Source organism: Homo sapiens, chromosome 10, assembly GCF_000001405.40.
Source record: "Homo sapiens chromosome 10, GRCh38.p14 Primary Assembly".
Lineage (NCBI taxonomy): Eukaryota > Metazoa > Chordata > Mammalia > Primates > Hominidae > Homo > Homo sapiens.
Window position 1 is genome coordinate 104,518,661 of NC_000010.11, and position 23,819 is coordinate 104,542,479.

Consider the following 23,819-nt stretch of genomic DNA (forward strand, 5'->3'; position numbering starts at 1 on the left):
TTTCTCTGGCCCCCATGGCAAGCCCAGTCAGACCTTAGAAGGGAGCGCGTGCCACTGCTGTGTGCATGACTTAAAATAATGAGGCAGTTGTCTTGCAAGAGGAGACAAATCACTAGGAAGGGTTTTTTTTTCACAGGTCAGCAGGTTTGGGACTCAGATACATTAATATGGAAAATTACTTTTCCTTCTGAGTGGGGACTTGAGGGTGGGTGGGGGCGCCAGGGCTACGCTTTCTGGTCTGAGATGTGTGGTTCAGTTTCCTTCTGTGGGACAAGCGGGGACTTCAGTGCCCAGTGTCTACAGCCCCTCTTGACCTTGAAGTCCATCACACACCTGCCTCGGAGACCTCCTGCCCCTCCTCGCTGCTCTGGGAGGGGGCTTCCTCTAATTTGTCACACAGCGGCTTCCCTCTCCCCGGACTTTCCCCTCTTCCCTCTGCTCCTTCCAGACACGTCCCCATCTCTCTGCCTTTGCTGGGCTGGTCCCTCCTCTTCTCCTCTCCATCCCAGCAGCCCCCAGAGCTATCTCCTCTGTAAGCTTCTCCCACTCCTCCTTTCTCCTCACCTGTGGACCCTCTTGGGTGCTGCTTCCTTGTTTTTTTTCAGCTGCCCTATCTCCTCAGCTGGGTCTGACTTCCTTCAGGAGAGGAACTGATTCTAATGGCCAACATCAGGGGCTTGGCAGGGGTCAGAAAGACCTGCACTGGTGCTTTCATGACAGCTCTTCTCATGGTCTGCCTTGCGGAGGGATCCTGTGGAAACAGAGAAAGGGCCTTGGATTCCAGCTTTGGACATGTCCTGGATTTAAATCCTGGTTCTGTCACTTCCTGCTTTGGGAACTTGAGGAGGGTGCAGACCTCTCCAAGGCTCCTTTTCCATCGATATGATGGGAGCAGCTAGTCTCCATCTCATGGCGGGCTGTGAGGATGAAGGGCCATGATGCTGGAAAGTACCTCACACAGCAGCTGGCCCAGAGTGGGAGGCTGGAGAAGAAATGTCAGCAGGTGCCTCCTGTCTGCCATAGGGCCTTGCGCCGCGCTGGTGAAACCAATTAGTTCAACTGACTCAATGCCCCCAGGCCTGTGAGAAGGAATCTCCCCTCTCGGAAGAGCTAAGGCTTGGTTCTTTCAAGACCACCTGCAGGTGAAGCGTCTCCATGTGGGGCAGGGCCAGTGGGCTTCACAGGCAGCTGCTTTTTGTTTCCAGATTCCCCTTCATGAAAGATACCTGCACTCCCATGTGTGTTGCAGCCCTGTTCACAGGAGCCAAGATTTGGAAGCAACCTCAGTGTCCATCAACAGATGAATGCATAAAGCAAATGTGGTACCTATACACAATGGAGTACTATTCAGTCATAAAAAGGAATGCCATCCCGTCATTTGCAATAACATGGATGGAACTGGGGGTCCTTATGTTAAGTAAAATAAGCCAGGCACAGAAAGACCAACATTGCATGTTCTCACTTCACTTATTTGTGGGATCTAGAAACCAAAACAATTGAACCCATGGAGATAGAGTAGGATGGTTACCAGAGGCTTGGAAGGGTAGTAGGGGGATGGTTAATGGGTGTAAAAACAGATTGAATGAATAAAAGACCTACAATTTGATAGCACAAAAGGGTGACTACAGTCAATAGTAACTTAAGTGTACATTTAAAAATAACTGAAAGAGTATAATTGAATTGTTTGCAACACAAAGAATAAATGCTTGAGGGGATGGACACCCCACTTTCCATGATGGGATTATTGTGCATTGCATACCTGTATCAAAACATCGCATGTACCCCACAAATACATACACTCACTATGTAGTCACAAAAAATAAAAAAAACAAAATTATACAACAAAACAAAAAACAAAACCCACAAATTCTCCTTCTGGTTTCTGTATAGTCCAGGCAAGGCTGGATTTCCAAGGCCTTACTAAGTTCTCAGACACAGCAATGAGACAACAGAGGATGGAGTAGTGATAAGAGCAGAGGGATTGGGGCTGGCCATCTGGGTCCAGGGCCCCCAGCACTTTGTACCACGACCACAGGTCTTTTCCCAGTCAGCGTTGTATTGTGTTTGGCAACTGGGCAGAGAGGCCCAAACTGTTCTGGGGTCAAGTTGGGCTGAGATGTGTGGATGCTGTATGGGCTTGGGCAAAAGGTGGCACTGTCGTTTCTTCATGTGCAAACATGGGAGAGTCATCGTGTGTGCCTCAGATGGCCAGCGAGCGATTGCAATGAGATGCGGTGAGCATGGTGCTTAGCGCTGCCTGGCACAGAGGGAGCCTGCAGTGGTGGACTCATCCATGGTTACGAACACACGGGATCTGGCTCACCCACTTTCAGCGGGGGCTTTCCCCCAGAGACCCCTCTCTTAGCTCCTGGTTCATCTCTCCAAGAAACAACCCCAAAGACATCTCTGCTTCCAAGCTCTTGAAGTGAAGCAACTGAGGCCTCCCGCTGGTGCGCAGTAATCCCTGATCCATGCGTTCATTGAGGGGGGCACTGGGGGAAGAAACAGGGGTCAAAATCCTTCTGTGATAACACCAACAACCTCTTCTGCCCTCTGGGAGCCAAAACCACACTCCTTATCAAAGAAGAGCATTAATTTCCGGGCTTCCTTTCTCATTTTTGAGTTGGAGTCTTGCTCTGTCACCCATGCTGGAGTGCAGTGGCACAATCTTGTCTTACTGCAACCTCCACCTCCAGGGTTCAAGCGATTCTCCTGCAACCTCTGCCTCCAGGGTTCAAACAATTCTCCTGCCTCAGCCTCCCAAATAGCTGGGATTACAGGCACCCGCCACCACACATGGCTAATTTTTGTATTTCTAGTATAGATGGGGTTTCACCATGTTGTTGGCCAGGCTGGTCTCAAGCTCCTGACTTCAAGTGATCTGCCCACCTCAGCCTCCCAAAGTGCTGGAATTATAGGTGTGAGCCACCGTGCCTGGCCAATTGCTGGGCTTTCTGAAAGAACGGAGACGCTCATACCATGTTGTAGCCAAAGGATGACAGCACTCATTTACTGAGCGTCTGCCAAGACCACGTCCGCTTCTGAGTGACTGTCAGTATCCTCACTAGCAACTCCATGCTGTGAGTTCTGCCATCGTTCCTGTTTTTCAGGTGAGGAAACTGAGCCATGAAGAGGTGAAGCAACTTGCCCAGGGTTACACAGCTGGCAAACAGTAGAGTCATGATTTGAACCCAGGCAGCCTGACCCTAGTGACAGCGTTCCACCTCTTTGCCTTCAGGATGGTTACCTATGCCCTTGTTTTAAAGAAAAGGACATCACAGTTCAGAGAGGCAAAGAGACCTGCCTAAGAACACACAGCTAGTGAGGAGCAGGCTGGGTTAAGACCCTGGTCACCAGGTCCTAGCTGGCTCTGTTCTGTTTCAGAATCAGAATGGTCCCCCTGCTCCCCGCACTAGCCCATCAATCCCCAGGGACTGGAGCTGGAACAGGTCAAACTTGTCAATTCAGGGCTTGGTCGAAAGCAGGATCTGCCATGAGACCAGGAGACTCTGATCCTGGCAGCCATCACTGCTGCCACTGCTGCTGCTGAAGATTGAAGAGGACGGGATGTGAGGCCAGCTCTGAGCCTGGGCGTCTTGCCAGAGCTGCCAACACGAAGTTGCATTTTGTCGTCTGCTCCCTTTGCCTGATTTAATACAACCTTAAATAATAATGGAGCAGGGAGAAGAGGGGCGAGGGAGAAACAACCCAGCCAAGAATCTGTGTAACAATCTCATCAAACCTGGGGTTTTCCCTTTGCTTTTTGAGAAGCAACTTCTCCTCTGATGTAAACATTTTTTTTTTAAATGATGATTCTGGGCTGAGTGGCACCAGGAGCCATCGCTTGGTGCTTTTCTCCAGCTCCCTCTGGTCCTCAGAGGAGGCAGAACAGGGCCTGTAACCATGGCAATTCTCTAATGTTCTTTCATAAACCATAAATATAGGGGAAGGCTTCATTACAGCTCCTTCAAGAAGAAAACAAAGCTTTCCCTGAATGGGGCAGGGCAGGGTGGCGGGGGGAGAGGGGAGGAGAAGGGAAGAAGGAAGACTTTAGGCTTTTTTTTTTTTTTTTTTTTTTTTTTTGCCACAAAGACAAACTGCGTCAGAATTGGCTCAGTTCAGAATGTGGCTCCAGCATTTAAGCAAGATGTAGCCCAGGGCCAGGCACAAAGCAGGCGCTCCTTAAGTATTAGTTGAAAGCAGGAAGGGAGAAAAGCAGGGAGGGAGTGATGTGGAAGGGAGAGGATTTGGAATCACACAGAGTAAATGTGAGTGGCCAGATGAGCCCACATTTTGAAAGGGTTTAATGTTCTGCTGACCTGTCTAACAGGCCCCTTGGAAGAGCAAGATGATGTACAGATTGTCCTACCTGAAGACTGTGGAGGAGAGGAAGGTGTCTCATCTCCCCAGTCTCCAAATCGTCAGCATTAAGAAGTGTTTGTTGAATAAACTGAATAAACAAATGAAGAGATGAGTGGACCAAATTTTTAAATGTCTTGGGAAGGGGTCATAATCATATTGAGAATATAAATATAATGAAAACTATGACTTCTTATTCCGAAATTACACTTATGAAAACACATTTTATGTGTCATTTCAGGATGTTTACAGATACTGATGACCATCCCTAGAATTCATATTGAGAATTTCCGTGCCACATTAACTTCCAGATGTCCTTGGGAAAAGTGTCTACTATGCTGCCTTGGTTTCCTCAATGAGAGTGAGAACAAATGGATCTGAAGAGGTGATCTTGGCCCTAATTTCCAAGTTCTGGGAAGATAAACAGGGTTTTCTTTTGAATCCTTCGGAGCCTGGGAGCTTCAAGAGAAACTCAACTCCAGGCACTTGAACTGACAGAGAATTTAGATTCTCCTCCAGGGAAAGGGGCAGAGCATGGATCCTGGCTTTGAGCCGCCTCCCAGCTTTTCTGTTGTCCTTGAGGCTGCTACGTTAACACTGTCCTTGCTTTGTGTGGTTTTGCTGTTACTACCTGTCCTGTGGATTTCTGACAATTACAAGCCGTGTACCCCACCACACATGCAAGCATTTCTCATTTATTCTGAGTACTTTAAGGACTGCCCAATCTGAATGCAGAGAACTATGTCTCATTCATTTTTGTGTGTCCAGGCCCTCACAGGGTTTGGGGATCCTGATATAGGGTTGGATTCGGTGACCTCTCAAATCCTCTTCAGCACTTTCATGCACAGAAGCCAGCATCCTCTGGACTGTCATTATCCAGTTTTATTAAAGCAGGTTACAATATAAAAGAACCCATCATCAGCCATCATCACTGATCTTGGATAGCTTGCCCTTGGCTGGTGGCCTAAGGATTCCTTTCTTTTTTTACCTATCAAAATCATTCTTGTACATAAGCTGTCCCCCTCCCTGCAAAGTATTCCTTGACTATCATAGACAAAATATGTCACTCCCTTCCCTCTTCCCATGATCTTTGCTTTACATTCAAATGTCACCATTTTATGGATCCATTTGTTTTCTTTATCGGATTGTAAATTCCTTGAGGGTGGAGACTGGATCTAATTCAACATGGTATCCCATGGTTCCTTGCCATGGGATATAGTGAAAATGCAGCAAGTGTGGGACTTGGTGAACAGCGGATAGTTCACTTGCTGCAGAGGATGGGTTTTTCTTTCTCTACCCATGCCCTTTGACTTTGAGTTTGGCCATTGGACTTGCTTTGGCCAATGGGATGCTCACAGACACCATGCAAGTAGAGGCTTAGAACATGTGTATGAACTTGACTTGCCCTCTGTGCTGTTAGGTCTCCTGACCTAAGGAGGAGGATGAGAAACACATGGACCAGACCTGCCCCAGCCAATCCGCAAGCCTGTGAGTGACAAATAAATGCATATTATTGGATGTCACTGATATTTGGAGGTTGTTTGTTTGTTAATGCAGCAACTGTTGCTTAATACAATTGTTAACTTAAAATGTAGGCTGAAAAACATAGGAGGCCTTGTGATGTTCATTGTCTTTATGGGTTGAGGTGGACATTTTAGAAAGAATGAAACAATCAGTGACTTGAAGAAGTGGTTGCTTATTCCTCGAATGGAAGACTGAAGGAAGGAAAAAAATATTTTCCCCCAAATCTTTCCTACAAGCCAAGCTTGTTGCTGCTAAAACCTGAAGGATGATGACTTTTGTGAGGGAAAGAATGAAATGGGGTTTCTTTGAAAAGCAGCACTTTTCCCCCTATAGTTACAAATGGTGTTGTTTTTGTTGTTGTTGTTGTTGTTTTCCCGTTGCTGACTTCTGTGAGTAACTCTGCAGCCTAAAATAATGTCTGTGTGTGCTTGCGAGGGTGTATGGATTTCAGACAAAGAGTCTGACTTAGATGCCTTTTGGAAAATTGGCCCTTTCCGTCATTCCGTCATGGGGTTCCCTGGCCAGCTCACTGGATTACTGCTGGCATAAGGGATGGGACACAAGAGGTGAGGGAGCCTAACTGGGCTTCCATCCTCGCCTGTGGCGTGAGAGTTTTCACACAGTGCACTCTCTTCAAGACCTGGACTTGCCAGAGCATGATAGTGGCCAGGCAAGAGGGTGCATGGTCCTTCTTCAAGCCAAACTTCTCACCCACTTCTAATCCGCAGCAGTTCCCAAGGAACTGGAGCCCAGTGCTGGGGCCTGAAAGTCATCCTGTGGGGCCTTGTGGTGGCCACAGCTGGGATGGCAGTTTTACTTAGCATCTACTACGTGCCAGGCTCTGCCAGACACAAAAGCAGCCCCCTCATCCTCTGCTCTCAAGGAGATTATGCCTCTGGGGGAAGATGGATATTGATAAGTAGTCACACAAATTAATGTAAATTTGTAACTGTGACAGGTGCTCCACAGGACTCTAAGAGCAAATAAGAGAGCCACTTGCTTTGGGGCAGCAAGGCAGGAAGATGGTTTCTGATGCCTCATCTTGCCACTCAAAGCCTTTGTCTTACCAAGGTCATAGCTACTCCGTATGGAGTTGTTGTGCACCCATTCTGCCAGGCACCCAGTCTGCCAGGCCCTCTCATGCCCCCAGTGACCTGCAGGAGCATACCCAGTGGCCCTGTTCCTCAGCCCCACGTCACTTCGTTCCTCCTTGATTCTCAGCCATCTTCTCACAGCTTTGAGACAACAGTCTGGACCTGCCTCCCTGAGTTGCGTGGCCAGTGTTGCTGAGCTGCACGTGTTAGGCACTGAAAGTGGAGTCCTATTCCAAGTGCAGGAGATAAAAAATAATATACAAGGCTGGGCGTGGTGGCTTATGCATGTAATTCCAGCACTTTGGGAGGCTGAGGTGGGCAGATCACCTGAGGTCAGGAGTTCAAGACCAATCTGGCTAACATGGTGAAACCCTGTCTCTACTAAAAATACAAAAAAATTAGCTGGGCATGGTGGCACATGCCTGTAGTCACAACTAGTTGGGATGCTGAGGCAGGGGAATCGCTTGAACCCTGGAGGCGGAGGTTGCAGTGAGCCAAGATTGTGCCACTGCACTCCAGCCTGGGTGACAGAGTAAGACCCCTCTCAAGAAGAAAAAGAAAATGTATGAGCATTTTCTTCTCTTGTACAGAACATGTAAGTTTTGCCCTTTAAGCTGTAATAGATCTGGTGCTCTGATGAGTGAAAGCATGCACTTTATGTGGTCTAATCTGGGCTATTGCTCAGTTTCTCTTATTTCTGCCCCACCCAAACTGTTGTTGGGAAGGGTGGGGGCCTCTCTTAAAGCAATGAGATGCAGGAGTTCCCAGATCTGCATAGCTCCCAGTGAGATCATCTGTCCATCCAGTCTCTGCTCATTTGCTGGCAATTGAGGAAGAGGACAGAAGCGGTGCAGCTCCCAGACTGGAGTCCAGGAGAGATCCCGACTTGGCCTCCCTTAAGCTCTTCCTACCAGAGCATGCTGTGTTTCTACCATGCCTCTGTCTAGGCCTGGCCCAGCTGACCTATTCCCAGCCTTTGAAGTGGGGTCATTTCACCCCTGCCATGGTGCAGCCCTGCAGAAGGCCAACTGATACTTGACTTAGTGTCTATACCCCTTGTCAACTGAGAGAGGCTAGGGAAGGTGGTGTATATTGGGCTCCTCCAGCTTTGACAGGATGAGCCCATGTTATGGGGCACCCTGCACAGTGGTCTCCCACCAGATTCCCAAACACAGCCCCACTCTATCCTCAGCATTGGTTTTAAGGTACATAACATGGTGCATGTCAAAAGCACAATGGCTCTTCAGCTTGTCTTCCTTCCTCTAATCTCTTCCCTTCGCATCCATCCTTTGCACTGTTGTCACTTTCATTATCTTAAAACAAAGCTCTGACTATGACATCCCTGCTCAAAAACTTTCAGTGCCTCCCCATTTCTGCCCCAATAAAGCTGAACTCATCAACATGGTAGCCAGCAAGGCCTTCCTTCCTGACCATGGATGAATGGATAATAAACATGTGCTACATACAGACAATGAAATATTAGTCATCTTTAAAAAAGATCTGACACATGCTATGATGGATGAACCTCGATGCTAAGTGAAATAAGCTAGACACAGACTGTATGATTCCACTTACATGAGGTACTTAGAGTAGTCAGACTCATAGAGACAGAAAGGAGAATGGTGGCTGGCAGGAGTGTGGGAGGAGGTGATGGGGAGTGATTGTTTAATGGGTACAGAGTTTCAGTTTGGGATGATGAAAACATTCTGGAGATGAATAGTAATAATGGTTGCACAACAATGTGAGTATACTTAATGCCATGAACTGCACACTTAGTAATGGATAAAACGGCAAAATTTGCAGTATATATATTTTACCACGGTAAAAATATTGAAGATGACAATAACAACAGCAACCGCAAAAAAAATCAATGAGTACATATAATGGTCTGTAGGCAAATTGGCTCCGAGGTCAAATGTCTTTGGTTGGGAGTGCTGAGGTAAGAGAGGGGAGGACCAGCAGAAATGTTATGAGCTATTTGGATTCTGCCTAAGGAGGAAGTGGTGAGGGGTCTTCTGGAGTCATGCATGCCTTGGTTGGAGGTCCCCTGTCTGAGCCCCCAGGCTCGGCGTCATTGCTGGAGCAGCATCTTCATTTTTTTATCCGTGGAGAAGGAGGACAGGAAGCATTGACATGCTATTTGTGCTGCAGGTCTGCATCAGGAATTGCCTTCACCTGTGAGTTCCAGATGTTTATAAATTAGTGGCTATGCTGTTTATTCTCCACTTATCCGTCCATAACCATCCTCTTTCCTCTCTGCCCTGCTCTGAGCCCCCAGTGGCTAACCTCTAAAGACCACTCAGTGCCCTTGTCTTCTGTCTTCCAGGTGAGTATGTCCAATGGGAGGGGCTGGCAGGTGCTAGGAGGGCAAGGGGCAAGTGAGGTCAGGGAGCATCTTCCTGCAGGCTCTGCAGGGGCTCTGGTCCTCTACTGTGGTCACATCTGAACACCTGGCTGCACATGGGAAGAAGAGAAGGAAAAGGAGAACCTCCTCCCCTCACTTTTTTAATAGAAGACTTAGTGGAAGTTCCTCTGCTTACATTTCCTGTGGTTGGAACCCAGTTTCCTAGGGAGGCCAGGCAACATTGTAGTCTTTATTCCTGGAGAGAGCATGTCAGAAGAAAGCTCAGAGTTTTCTTTCTCTCTCTCTCTTTCTTTCCTTCTTTCTTTCTTTCTTTCTTTTTTTTTTTAAGTTTTTTTTCCTTTTATTATTATACTTTAAGTTTTAGGGTACATGTACACATTGTGCAGGTTAGTTACATATGTATACATGTGCTATGCTGGTGTGCTGCACCCACTGACTTGTCATCTAGCATTAGGTATATCTCCCAGTGCTATCCCTCGCCCCTCCCCCCACCCCACAACAGTCCCCAGAGTGTGATGTTCCCCTTCCTGTGTCCATGTGATCTCATTGTTCAGTTCCCACCTATGAGTGAGAATATGTGGTGTTTGGTTTTTTGTTCTTGCGATAGTTTACTGAGAATGATGATTTCCAATTTCATCCATGTCCCTACAAAGGACATGAACTTATCATTTTTTATGGCTGCATAGTATTCCATGGTGTATATGTGCCACATTTTCTTAATCCAGTCTATCATTGTTGGACATTTGGGTTGGTTCCAAGTCTTTGCTATTGTGAATAATGCCACAATAAACATATGTGTGCATGTGTCTTTATAGCAGCATGATTTATAGTCCTTTGGGTATATACCCAGTAATGGGATGGCTGGGTCAACTGGTATTTCTAGTTCTAGATCCCTGAGGAATCGCCACACTGACTTCCACAATGGTTGAACTAGTTTACAGTCCCACCAACAGTGTAAAAGTGTTCCTATTTCTCCACATCCTCTCCAGCACCTGTTGTTTCCTGACTTTTTAATGATTGCCATTCTAACTGGTGTGAGATGGTATCTCATTGTGGTTTTGATTTGCATTTCTCTGATGGCCAGTGATGATGAGCATTTTTTCATGTGTTTTTTGGCTGCATAAATGTCTTCTTTCGAGAAGTGTCTGTTCATGTCCTTCGCCCACTTTTTGATGGGGTTGTTTGTTTTTTTCTTGTAAATTTGTTTGAGTTCATTGTAGATTCTGGATATTATTAGCCCTTTGTCAGATGAGTAGGTTGCGAAAATTTTCTCCCATTTTGTAGGTTGCCTGTTCACTCTGATGGTAGTTTCTTTTGCTGTGCAGAAGCTCTTGAGTTTAATTAGATCCCATTTGTCAATTTTGTCTTTTGTTGCCATTGCTTTTGGTGTTTTAGACATGAAGTCCTTGCCCATGCCTATGTCCTGAATGGTAATGCCTAGGTTTTCTTCTAGGGTTTTTATGGTTTTAGGTCTAACGTTTAAGTCTTTAATCCATCTTGAATTGATTTTTGTATAAGGTGTAAGGAAGGGATCCAGTTTCAGCTTTCTACATATGGCTAGCCAATTTTCCCAGCACCATTTATTAAATAGGGAATCCTTTCCCCATTGCTTGTTTTTCTCAGGTTTGTCAAAGATCAGATAGTTGTAGATATGCAGCGTTATTTCTGAGCACTCCGTTCTGTTCCATTGATCTATATCTCTGTTTTGGTACCAGTACCATGCTGTTTTGGTTACTGTAGCCTTGTAGCATAGTTTGAAGTCAGGTAGTGTGATGCCTCCAGCTTTGTTCTTTTGGCTTAAGATTGACTTGGTGATGCGGGCTCTTTTTTGGTTCCATATGAACTTTAAAGTAGTTTTTTCCAATTCTGTGAAGAAAGTCATTGGTAGCTTGATGGGGATGGCATTGAATCTGTAAATTACCTTGGGCAGTATGGCCATTTTCACGATATTGATTCTTCCTACCCATAAGCATGGAATGTTCTTCCATTTGTTTGTATCCTCTTTTATTTCCTTGAGCAGTGGTTTGTAGTTGTCCTTGAAGAGGTCCTTCACATCCCTTGTAAGTTGGATTCCTAGGTATTTTATTCTCTTTGAAGCAATTGTGAATGGGAGTTCACTCATGATTTGGCTCTCTGTTTGTCTGTTGTTGGTGTATAAGAATGCTTGTGATTTTTGTACATTGATTTTGTATCCTGAGACTTTGCTGAAGTTGCTTATCAGCTTAAGGAGATTTTGGGCTGAGACAGTGGGGTTTTCTAGATATACGATCATGTTGTCTGTAAACAGGGATAATTTGACTTCCTCTTTTCCTAATTGAATACCCTTTATTTCCTTCTCCTGCCTAATTGCCCTGGCCAGAACTTCCAACACTATGTTGAATAGGAGTGGTGAGAGAGGGCATCCCTGTCTTGTGCCAGTTTTCAAAGGGAATGCTTCCGGTTTTTGCCCATTCAGTATGATATTGGCTGTGGGTTTGTCACAGATAGCTCTTATTATTTTGAAATACGTCCCATCAATACCTAATTTATTGAGAGTTTTTAGCATGAAGCGTTGTTGAATTTTGTCAAAGGCCTTTTCTGCATCTATTGAGATAATCATGCGGTTTTTGTCTTTGGCTCTGTTTATATGCTGGATTACATTTATTGATTTGTGTATATTGAACCAGCCTTGCATCCCAGGGATGAAGCCCACTTGATCATGGTGGATAAGCTTTTTGATGTGCTGCTGGATTCATTTTGCCAGTATTTTATTGAGGATTTTTGCATCAATGTTCATCAAGGATATTGGTCTAAAATTATCTTTTTTGATTGTGTCTCTGCCCGGTTTTGGTATCAGAATGATGCTGGCCTCATAAAATGAGTTAGGGAGGATTCCCTCTTTTTCTATTGATTGGAATAGTTTCAGAAGGAATGGTACCAGTTCCTCCTTGTACCTCTGGTAGAATTTGGCTGTGAATCCATCTGGTCCTGGACTCTTTTTAGTTGGTAAGCTATTGATTATTGCCACAATTTCAGAGCCTGTTATTGGTCTACTCAGAGATTCAACTTCTTCCTGGTTTAGTCTTGGGAGAGTGTATGTTTCGAGGAATTTATCCATTTCTTCTAGATTTTCTAGTTTATTTGTGTAGAGGTGTTTGTAGTATTCTCTGACGGTAGTTTGTATTTCTGTGGGATCGGTGGTGATATCCCCTTTATCATTTTTTATTGCGTCTATTTGATTCTTCTCTCTTTTTTTCTTTATTAGTCTTGCTAGCGGTCTGTCAATTTTGTTGATCCTTTCAAAAAACCAGCTCCTGGATTCATTAATTTTTTGAAGGGTTTTTTGTGTCTCTATTTCCTTCAGTTCTGCTCTTAGTTATTTCTTGCCTTCTGCTAGCTTTTGAATGTGTTTGCTCTTGCTTTTCTAGTTCTTTTAATTGTGATGTTAGGGTGTCAATTTTGGATCTTTCCTGCTTTCTCTTGTGGGCATTTAGTGCTATAAATTTCCCTCTACACACTGCTTTGAATGCGTCCCAGAGATTCTGGTATGTTGTGTCTTTGTTCTCGTTGGATTCAAAGAACATCTTTATTTCTGCCTTCATTTCGTTATGTACCCAGTATTCATTCAGGAGCAGGTGGTTCAGTTTCCATGTAGTTGAGCGGTTTTGAGTGAGATTCTTAATCCTGAGTTCTAGTTTGATTGCACTGTGGTCTGAGAGATAGTTTGTTATAATTTCTGTTCTTTTACATTTGCTGAGGAGAGCTTTACTTCCAAGTATGTGGTCAATTTTGGAATAGGTGTGGTGTGGTGCTGAAAAAAATGTATATTCTGTTGATTTGGGGTGGAGAGTTCTGTAGATGTCTATTAGGTCCGCTTGGTGCAGAACTGAGTTCAATTCCTGGGTATCCTTGTTGACTTTCTGTCTCGTTGATCTGTCTAATGTTGACAGTGGGGTGTTAAAGTCTCCCATTATTAATGTGTGGGAGTCTAAGTCTCTTTGTAGGTCACTCAGGACCTGCTTTATGAATCTGGGTGCTCCTGTGTTGGGTGCATATATATATAGGATAGTTAGCTCTTCTTGTTGAATTGATCCCTTTACCATTATGTAATGGCCTTCTTTGTCTCTTTTGATCTTTGTTGGTTTAAAGTCTGTTTTATCAGAGACTAGGATTGCAACCCCTACCTTTTTTTGTTTTCCATTTGCTTGGTAGATTTTCCTCCATCCTTTTATTTTGAGCCTATGTGTGTCTCTGCACGTGAGATGGGTTTCCTGAATACAGCACACTGATGGTTCTTGACTCTTTATCCAATTTGCCAGTCTGTGTCTTTTAATTGGAGCATTTAGTCCATTTACATTTAAAGTTAATATTGTTATGTGTGAATTTGATCCTGTCATTATGATGTTAGCTGGTGATTTTGCTCGTTATTTGATGCAGTTTCTTCCTAGTCTCGATGGTCTTTACATTTTGGCATGATTTTGCAGCGGCTGGTACCGGTTGTTCCTTTCCATGTTTAGCGCTTCCTTCAGGAGCTCTTTTAGGGTAGGCCTGGTGGTGACAAAATCTTTCAGCATTTGCTTGTCTGTAAAGTATTTTATTTCTCCTTCACTTATGAAGCTTAGTTTGGCTGGATATGAAATTCTGGGTTGAAAATTCTTTTCTTTAAGAATGTTGAATATTGGCCCCCACTCTCTTCTGGCTTGTAGGGTTTCTGTCGAGAGATCAGCTGTTAGTCTGATGGGCTTCCCTTTGAGGGTAACCCGACCTTTCTCTCTAGCTGCCCTTAACATTTTTTCCTTCATTTCAACTTTGGTGAATCTGACAATTATGTGTCTTGGAGTTGCTCTTCTCGAGGAGTACCTTTGTGGCGTTCTCTGTATTTCCTGAATCTGAACGTTGGCCTACCTTGCTAGATTGGGGAAATTCTCCTGGATAATATCCCGCAGAGTGTTTTCCAACTTGGTTCCATTCTCCCCATCACTTTCAGGTACACCAATCAGACGTAGATTTGGTCTTTTCACATAGTCCCATATTTCTTGGAGGCTTTGCTCATTTCTTTTTATTCTTTTTTCTCTAAACTTCCCTTCTCGCTTCATTTCATTCATTTCATCTTCCATCACTGATACCCTTTCTTCCAGTTGATCGCTTCAGCTCCTGAGGCTTCTGCATTCTTCACGTAGTTCTCAAGCCTTGGCTTTTAGCTCCATCAGCTCCTTTAAGCACTTCTCTGTATTGGTTATTCTAGTTATACATTCTTCTAAATTTTTTTCAAAGTTTTCAACTTCTTTGCCTTTGGTTTGAATGTCCTCCCGTAGCTCAGAGTAATTTGATCGTCTGAAGCCTTCTTCTCTCAGCTCATCAAAGTCATTCTCCGTCCAGCTTTGTTCCATTGCTGGTGAGGAACTGCGTTCCTTTGGAGGAGGAGAGGCGCTCTGCTTTTTAGAGTTTCCAGTTTCTCTGTTCTGTTTTTTCCCCATCTTCGTGGTTTTATCTACTTTTGGTCTTTGATGATGGTGATGTACAGATGGGTTTTTGGTGTGGTTGTCCTTTCTGTTTGTTAGTTTTCCTTCTAACAGACAGGATCCTCAGCTGCACGTCTGTTGGAGTACCCTGCCATGTGAGGTGTCAGTGTGCCCCTGTTGGGGGGTGCCTCCCAGTTAGGCTGCTCGGGGGTCGGGGGTCGGGGGTCAGGGGTCAGGCACCCACTTGAGGAGGCAGTCTGCCCCTTCCAGATCTCCAGCTGCATACTGGGAGAACCACTGCTCTCTTCAAAGCTGTCAGACAGGGACATTTAAGTCTGCAGAGGTTACTGCTGTCTTTTTGTTTGTCTGTGCCCTGCCCCCAGAGGTGGAGCCTACAGAGGCAGGCAGGCCTCCTTGAGCTGTGGTGGGCTCCACCCAGTTCGAGCTTCCCAGCTGCTTTGTTTACCTAAGCAAGCCTGGGCAATGGCGGGCGCCCCTCCCCCAGCCTCGCTGCCGCCTTGCAGTGTGATCTCAGACTGCTGTGCTAGCAATCAGCGAGACTCCGTGGGTGTAGGCCCCTCCGAGCCAGGTGCGGGATATAATCTCATGGTGCGCCGTTTTTTAAGCCCGTCGGAAAAGCGCAGTATTCGGGTGGGAGTGACCCGATTTTCCAGGTGCCGTCCATCACCCCTTTCTTTGACTAGGAAAGGGAACTCCCTGACCCCTTGCGCTTCCCGAGTGAGGCAATGGCTCGCCCTGCTTCGGCTCATGCATGGTGCATGCACCCACTGACCTGCGCCCACTGTCTGGCACTCCCTAGTGAGATGAACCCGGTACCTCAGATGGAAATGCGGAAATCACCCGTCTTCTGCGTCACTCACGCTGGGAGCTGTAGACCGGAGCTGTTCCTATTCGGCCATCTTGGCTCCTCCCCTCTTTCTTTCTTTCTTTCTTTCTTTCTTTCTTTCTTTCTTTCTTTCTTTCTTTCTTTCTTTCTTTCTTTTCTCTTGTCTTTCTCTCCTTTCTTTCTCTCTCTCTCTCCTTCCTTCCTTACCTTCCTTCCCTCTTTCTTTCTTTCTCTCTTTTTCCTTCCTTCCTTCTTTCGGAATTTCAGACTTTTGGAATTATTTCAGAATTTCGCTCTTGTTGCCCAGGCTGGAGTGCAATGGCATGATCTCAGCTCACTGCAACCTCTGCTTCCTGGATTCAAGCAATTCTCCTGCCTCAGCCTCCCCCTCTCCCTCCTCCCTTCCCTTCCTCTTCTTTCTTTCTTTCTTTCTTTCTTTCTTTCTTTCTTTCTTTCTTTCTTTCTTTCTTTCTTTCTTTCTATCTTTCTTTCTTTCTTTCTTTCTTTCTTTCTTTCTTTCTTTCTTTCTTTCTTTTTCCTTCCTTCCTTCCTTCCTTCCTTCCTTCCTTCCTTCCTTCTTTCCTTCCTTCCTTCCTTCCTTCCTTCCTTCCTTCCTTCCTTCCTTCTTTTGGAATTTTGGAATTTCGGAATTATTTCAGAATTTCACTCTTGTTGCCCAGGCTGGAGTGCAATGGCTTGATTTTGGCTCACTGCAACCTCTGCTTCCTGGATTCAAGCAATTCTCCTGCCTCAGCCTTCAGAGTAGCTGGGATTACAGGCACGCACCACCATGCCCAGCTAATTTTTGTATTTTTAGTGGAGATGGGGTTTCATCATGTTGGCCAGGATGGTCTCGAACTCCTGACCTCAGGTGATCTACCTGCCTTGGCTTCCCAAAGTGTTGGGATTATAGGCATGAGCCATTGTGCTTGGCCTCAGGGTTCTATTTCTGAGGAAGAAGCAGGCAATGAATGCCAGGAGTCCAGTGTCAGTCTCTGCCTTGGAGCTGATTAAAGCTTCTTCATGACGGGCAGAGACAGAGTCAACTGTGCCATCTTTCTTATCCCAGTTTGGTGTTCAGGTTTGGTCCTTTACGGGGGTGCTTGGCTGAGTTGGGCATCTTCCCTATGCTGAGTGTAGAGCAGGGCACCAAGGTACCCATCTCACATGGAAAAGGTGAAGAATCAGGGCAGACCCAAGAACAACATCTTAGGTCAGGAAATGCAAAGTCCTCTTCTAAGTGCCTCCTCCCATCTCTCTATAAGTTACCATGGGATGTAGGTTGTTTTGGCGATAGGAAAATGAAGGAGTGGATTGTGAGTGCTGAGGCTGCTTAAACCTACACAGAAAACTTTGTAAATTTTCCTCTGAGGAGCTGGACTTGAGATGAAGCAAGGCCCCAGACACCAGAGAGCTTGAAAAACTCAAGAAGTTTTCCCAGGTTTCCATCCACCAGCAGGTCTTGCAAGAGGCCAATGCTATAAACTGGGGGCAGTAACATTCCAGGAAGAGAGATGATTTTGTGCAAGCCCTAAAGCGCTGAGTGAACCAAAAGAGCTATCCTGTTTCACAGTTGTGAGTTGGGGCAAGAAGAGGGCTTATTGGTGATGCAGCCCCGGAAGTGACCCCCTCTCCTCTGTGTACATGGACGTCAGCTGCAGGGTGCAGCAGTATAAAAGGCCAGGCTCTGGCATCTCCTGAGTTTGAATCCTTGCTCTGTTACTTCTAGGCATATGACTTTGGGCAAATTTCTTACTGTCTGTCAACCTCTGCATTTTCATCTGTAAAACGGGGATGACACCACGTCCTAGCTCACAAGAGTACAGTGGAATTAAACAAGGGAATTCACGCAGCCTGTTTAGCCCAGTTTTGGGCACACAGCATGGGTCTACAAACATTGATGCTTATCTTAACTGGCATTTCTAAGTGACAGAGTTTATAGATGACTTAGTGCCAGGGAGTTACAGTCATTTCTGGGGAGTTAGGAAGCACCCAGGAGCAAAGGAGAGAGTGAGATGGAGGGGTGTGGGGTGCTGTGACAAGCAGGTATGGAGCTTCAGCTCTGCTGCTCCTGAATTATTCATAGAAACAATCTTTGAATAATTGGAGGCCATTTTTCATTACCATTATTTCCTGGAGAAATGACTCCATTGCTGAAATCTGAGGTGGGGGAAGTACATTCTATTTATGTTAGATTGCTTCTTAAAAACTTCCCAGGGATGGCCCAAAACAGGCGCCTCGTTTTGGGGGCTGTGACTGCAAGGGCAGAATAATCCCGCCTTGCTAATTACTTCCCAAAGTGAAGGAGGAGAGGAGAGAGGGAGGGAGGGAGGATCCAGAACCAGGGAGAGAAGAGAGAATTGGTGGTGGGCAGGAGGGGGTCTGGAGAGGGCTCTAGAAGGAGCTGGGCTCTAGAAGGCTGACAGATGTGGGGTCAGTCCAGCTGTAGGAATCAGATGTGGGATCAGCGCGGCTGGAGGATTAGGTTCTGAGTACTGTGTCTGGAGAGTCTCCAAGGAGCATGTCTCCCCGTATTGTCCCAACCCTAACATTTTGTCCTCATTGAGGTATACGGTAGTAAAAAAAATGGCAGACCCTACTCCACCACTGGAGTGAGTTACCTTGGGCAAGCCCTGGGTTACCTTTGGTAAGGCCTGTTCCTGTCTCCATGCCTCAGTTTCCTTTTCTGATAAATGAGGCTGGGAAATGTGTCTTTTGTAGAATTGTTATGAAGATTGACTGAGATAATGCACGTGATTTGCCCAGCACTGTGCATGACTTAGAGGAGACTTTTAAAAGCTGTTAGAAAACCTGTCCTCCCACCCCCTCACTCCCCCTTGGAGACCGAGTCCTAGGGATTAAGTATTGCCCCTTTTCAAAATGCAGAGGCAAATGCTCCTGCTAAGGGGTCCTGCCTTTTATCATCACAACTTGGCTATCTCTCTGTTTCCATGAATTTGACTTTTTTAGATCCCACATATAAGGAAGATCATGCAGTAAGGCTGGGATGGGAGGATTAGGGAGATAATGGTCAAAGGACACAAAATTTCAGTGAGACAGGAAGAAGGATATGTTCAAGAGACCTATTGTACATCGTGGTGACTGCAGCTAATAACAATGTAATGTACACTTGAAAACTACTAAAACGGTAGATTTTAAATATTCTCACTACAAAAAAAGGATCAGTATTGGAGTCATGCATATGTTTATTAACTTGATTTAGCCCTTCCACAGTGTGGACCTATTTCAAAACATCATGTTGTACAGAATGCATAGATATGATTTTTATCAGTTAAAAAAATAACATAAATGAGTTGGCTCTCTCTGGGGCAGGAGGTGCCACAGGTTCTTATGTGTGTTGTGGGTGGGTAGCAGAGGAAGCAAGGTGAGGAGAAGGTGGTGCTGAGGAAAGGTGGGGAGAGGGCCCTCAAAAGGAAGCAGGGGCAAATGTGCGACTTGGCACTTGCCAAAGGCCAGTCTAGAGACATACACACACCCTCACGCATGCACACACATATACGTGTGTGCCCAGTCTAGGAGTTTTATGAAGCCTTCTGGGACCATTCCCACCCACTGCCTGCACTAGCCCAGCTGACCCAATCAAAGTGGATGCATTTATATCTGGAAGATGAGATGTAAGCAGAGGTTCATGTGTCAGTTTCTGGGAAACTTTCTTAAGACAACTGGCACATGCACTTGGCTGTAATTTGTCATCTGGGAGGTTCGTGGACATTAATTCTGTCTCTCCCATGAGGTAGAGGCTCTCTTAAGTCAAGAATACCTCTTCCATGTCATGCCCCTCCCTCTCACCCAGGGTCAGGCACAGGGCTCTGGATATCATCAGTCTGCAATGATCCATAGGCCATGGCTTGATCAAGTGGTGTAAGCAGATGTCACCTCATAATGTTTTGAAATTGGCTAAGAATTAATTCTGGGCACTGTCTGAGTGAAGACAGCCCCAGTGTTGAGGAAATAAGGATCAAATTTGATAAAGGAAGAAACAAGGTGCCCACACTTACCCCACTCCCAGAAGGAGACTTACCTCTGGGTTCAGCTCCCATTTCTTGGCCAGTTCTCCCCATTCTATTCCATGTGATAACTTTATTTCTAGGTCCCCTGGACCTTCTTCCCCTTCCCCTCAACCCTCTCTAACCAGGAAGAAGGTGAAAAAGGTGCCTAGATATTAGTAACACTGGTGTCAGTGGTTACTTAATGTCTTTTCCTTCCAGAGGCCTGTGTAGGGCAATACCTTAACCCAGAAGGATAGGCATGGGGGAGTCTTCAGCCCTGTCTAGAGTCCGGGCTCTGGAAAATCATGCAAGAGCTCTGTCTTCACAGCCCTTCCTATTAAATGCAATCCTCATGGCCTATATCACTGTTTTAATTTTACAGTCAATTGAGTTAATATTCATGAAAACCTGTCTTCTCTACGAGATTCAAGGTCTACAGGGGCAGAACTATGCCTACCTGGGCTTGTCACTTAGCCCAGGGCCTAGCACAGAATAAGTGCTAAGCAAAGGTTTGTTGACTGAAAAATGAGTGAAATAAATGCATTGATGAGAAGAACCTGCTTTAGTGCTCTGTGCAGCGAGGGTACATGATACCCAGGAAAGCAGCCTTTCCCAGCCTCCAAGAAGGCTTATTCCTGCCCCCTCTCTATAACTAAAATGTCTGATGTGCCCAGCCTCTGTGTGTGTGTGTGTGTGTGTGTGTGTGTGTGTGTGTGTGTGTTTAAGGAGGGGCCAATAGGGAAAGCAATTAAAATATTAATTAATACAAGAGTACAAGACTATGCAGTTTGTTCTTTTCCTCGATTGTTCATTCATTTATCAACTAATAAGCACGTGCCATATGCCACAATGTATTGGGCAATGAGAGGGATTCACATATGAACAAGACATTGTCCTGTCCTGAAGGAACTCACAGCATAGTAGGAGGAAAATGTAATTGCAGTAACAACCACCCTAACAGTTATAATACTAATGGTAATTTTTGAACAGCCCCTATTCGCCAGATCTTGCCATGCACCCTTTAAGATATTGGCCTGTTTATTTTCCTCAACAACTCTTTGAGGAAGAAATATTATTCCTACTTTATGAATTAAGAAATCAAGTCACAGAGAGGTTAAGTCACTTCCCAGGGTCACACAGCAAAGCTCTCGACTCTATGCTTTGCTCTTGTAATACAAAATAGAACAGGTTGAGTGTTTACAAGTGTACAAACAGTGCCCCAGGAGTTCAGAGAAATAATTCTCATGTGAGCTCCGGAGGGTGAGTGGTTTGATGGGAGTGTCAGAGGGGCAAAGAAAGGGTAGGGGATATTTAGGGGAATAGGGGGCAGTTCAGTTTGGCTGGATGCAAGGGTATGTGACAAGATGGAAGGCAGAGAAGCCTGGAGAGGTGAATGGGACCAGCCTGGGTAAGATCTCAGATGCCATTTCAGCCTCATGGTTGACTGTGAATAAGTGGCAGATAGAAAGACAATGACTACAGTGATGTGGAGTCCTGGTCTCCCCTGGTCTGTGCTGGTGGTTCGTCTGGCAAGGGGACAGGGGTGCAGCTCTGACTCAGCCAGGTGAGTGCCTGGCCCTGGCATCTGTAAGCCCCAGCCCAGCAGTGAAGCTGCTTATTGAGGGAGATGGGGCAACACCAGCTCGATGGGATGCTCCTAGGCTACCCCAAAGAAGCCCTTGACAAGGCTCATCCCTGATGAGGGGCCCAATAGAGATGGGCAGACACGGTCACTCATCAAACCAAGCAGTTTTCCTGGCCTATGGGGCCACGCCCCCAGAAGGTGGGCAAACCCTGATAAAAGTCCTTGAAGATCCACACATTTCCCTTGCACAGAATTAACCCCAGTCAAGTGATTTCCTTACTAGCTTTGACCAGTAATTTCAGATATTTTCAGATAAGCCTCAGTTAGAGATAGAGATAGAAAAAAGAGCAAGATGAAGGGGGTATGGAGTATGTGAACATATTTGTTTTGTGGAGTGACTGCAGGAGAGGTCTCGGGAAGGCATGGGAGGTTGTTGAGAGCAGCTGAGAGAACATACGAATTGTGTCATTGTTAGCGAAGATTAAACAGTAGAAAGAATGAGGCTTTGCTGGCAGCCACTGGATTAACAGCTTGTAGATTTCAATAATCAGTTTAAAGTTGAGTTTATATGCATGCTGAGAAACCTGGCTCCTTAAGATGAGCTATGCTGTTGTTGCTGGAAATGGCTGGAAGTCAGGGAGGGAGATTTACAGCCTGAAGATGTCACCCTTCAGAGAGGAATCACCCACTCCTAGGACAACAGACTGGAAGGCAGCCTGTCAGAAGGAGAGACCTTGTTGATTTCTGAAAAATGTGAATTTCAATTGATATGCCCAAGAAAAAGTGAGCACTATTTATAGGATAGTGACTGAGATGTACTGCTTAAGAATAGACAGCAGGTGGGGTGCGGTGGCTCACGCCTGTAATCCCAGCACTTTGGGAGGCTGAGGTGGGCAGATCACTTGAGGTCAGGAGTTTGAGACCAGCCTGGCCAACATGGTTAAACCCCATCTCTACCAAAAATATAAAAAGTTAGCTGGGCATAGGGGTGAGCACCTGTAATCCCAGCTACTCAGGAGGCTAAGGTAGGAGAATCGCTTGAACCTGAGAGGCAGAGGTTGTAGTGAGCCGAGAGCATGCCACTGCACTCCAGCCTGGGCAACAGAGTGAGACCTCATCTCAATAAATAAATAAATAAATAAATAAATAAATAAATAAATAAATAAATAGAAGAGACAGCAACACCTCACGGCCAACCGAATAAGGGTCTAAATCCTTGGCTCAGAAGCCTCAGCCTTCCTTTGGGAGGCTACCGACCCCACTTGTACCCCTACTTCCTATGGCCCCCATTATGGGCCTGTCCTCCCTGGACCTCTTTTTTCTGCCTGCCCCATCTCCTTGGGCACCCCTTCTGCCTAAAGAGTTCATCTTTGTTTTCACCTGTCCAAACTATTCCTGCCCACCAACTCCAAATAGATTCACTGACTCCTCTACTAAAAGGCCTCTGACCCACTACTCCCTTCCAGAGTAGGATGACATCCTCTCTGCTCCTGTAAGGCTCATCACATTTTCTTTGTGACATAGCATTTACACGATTGTCCCATGACTCCTATTAACTCCAGAAGGCAGATAACCCATACCGGGGTCCTCTGCATGTCTCGTAGCTTGGCATCCTGGCAAAGTGCCTTGTAGCCTGCAAAGTGCCTTGCCTGTGGCCGCCATATCAGACACTGTATGTTCATTCTTGGCTTTCCAACCCCATTCTTTCACCCACAGTAGCCAACTCGCTGTCCCCAATGTGCTGTGAACTTTCACACCTCCAGGCCTTTCATTCATTCGTTCAACATACATTTAGTGAGTTCCTTCTATGTGCCAGACTACTCTAGCTCCAAGACACAGGGATGAGCATATGACCCCAACCTGGCCAAGCAGAGCATTTCATTCTCCTGGCCACAGAAATGCATTACAGATGGTGGGAAACACAAAGCATGCCATTGAAACTCAAATCTGAGACTTGGGTGGGGACTCTCTGGAAAGCCACACGTACTTTCCTTTGGAGTTGTTTAATAGTAGGTGTCAGCAGGAGCCACTGGGGGCCACCCACGAACGGGAAGAATCAAGTCACCACCAAGGAAAGCAGATCTCAGAGGCAGAGGGCTGGAGATTCCTGGTGACATCATTGAGTACCTAGATCCAGCCAATTCTGAACTACCTCTGAAATTTTCAGTAAATGAGCTCATCAGTTCCCTTCTCTGCTTAAGCCAGTTTAAGCTGGACTTCTGCAATATACAAGCAGTGTTCTCACCAATACGAAGGTAACACATGCCTTCATGGAGGTGAAAACTGATCCTTTGCCCTCTGAGATGCTCTAAACCTGGGTCTATAGCACCCTCACTTTCTTGCTGCCTGGGGTGTGGTGGGGTGATGATTAATTTGTCTGTTACCACTCTACTCTTCAGGCCCCACTTGGCTGGAGCCTCCTGCTGCGTCTAGGAGCAGGCCTGAGATGAGGCCCCTTTTCCACAACTCCAGGAGTTTATGGGATTAATGACATACATAGATTTAATGATGGGCTCTCGATGGTGGAAGGAAGCTGATTCTGAGGCCATAGTTCATTCTTGCTCAGGTTGATTAATAATTAGATGTCAATAGTC

The 23,819-nt window shown here is 45.8% G+C and overlaps 2 annotated features.

Annotated features, from left to right (window-relative positions):
- Nucleotides 14,814-15,326: an enhancer, noted in NCBI's record as "NANOG-H3K4me1 hESC enhancer chr10:106293232-106293744 (GRCh37/hg19 assembly coordinates)". NCBI's record gives its function as "activates a minimal SCP1, AML or CMV promoter by ChIP-STARR-seq in naive H9 embryonic stem cells {active_cell/tissue: H9 hESC(naive)}" and the evidence as "EXISTENCE:reporter gene assay evidence [ECO:0000049][PMID:30033119]".
- Nucleotides 15,327-15,839: an enhancer, noted in NCBI's record as "NANOG-H3K4me1 hESC enhancer chr10:106293745-106294257 (GRCh37/hg19 assembly coordinates)". NCBI's record gives its function as "activates a minimal SCP1, AML or CMV promoter by ChIP-STARR-seq in naive H9 embryonic stem cells {active_cell/tissue: H9 hESC(naive)}" and the evidence as "EXISTENCE:reporter gene assay evidence [ECO:0000049][PMID:30033119]".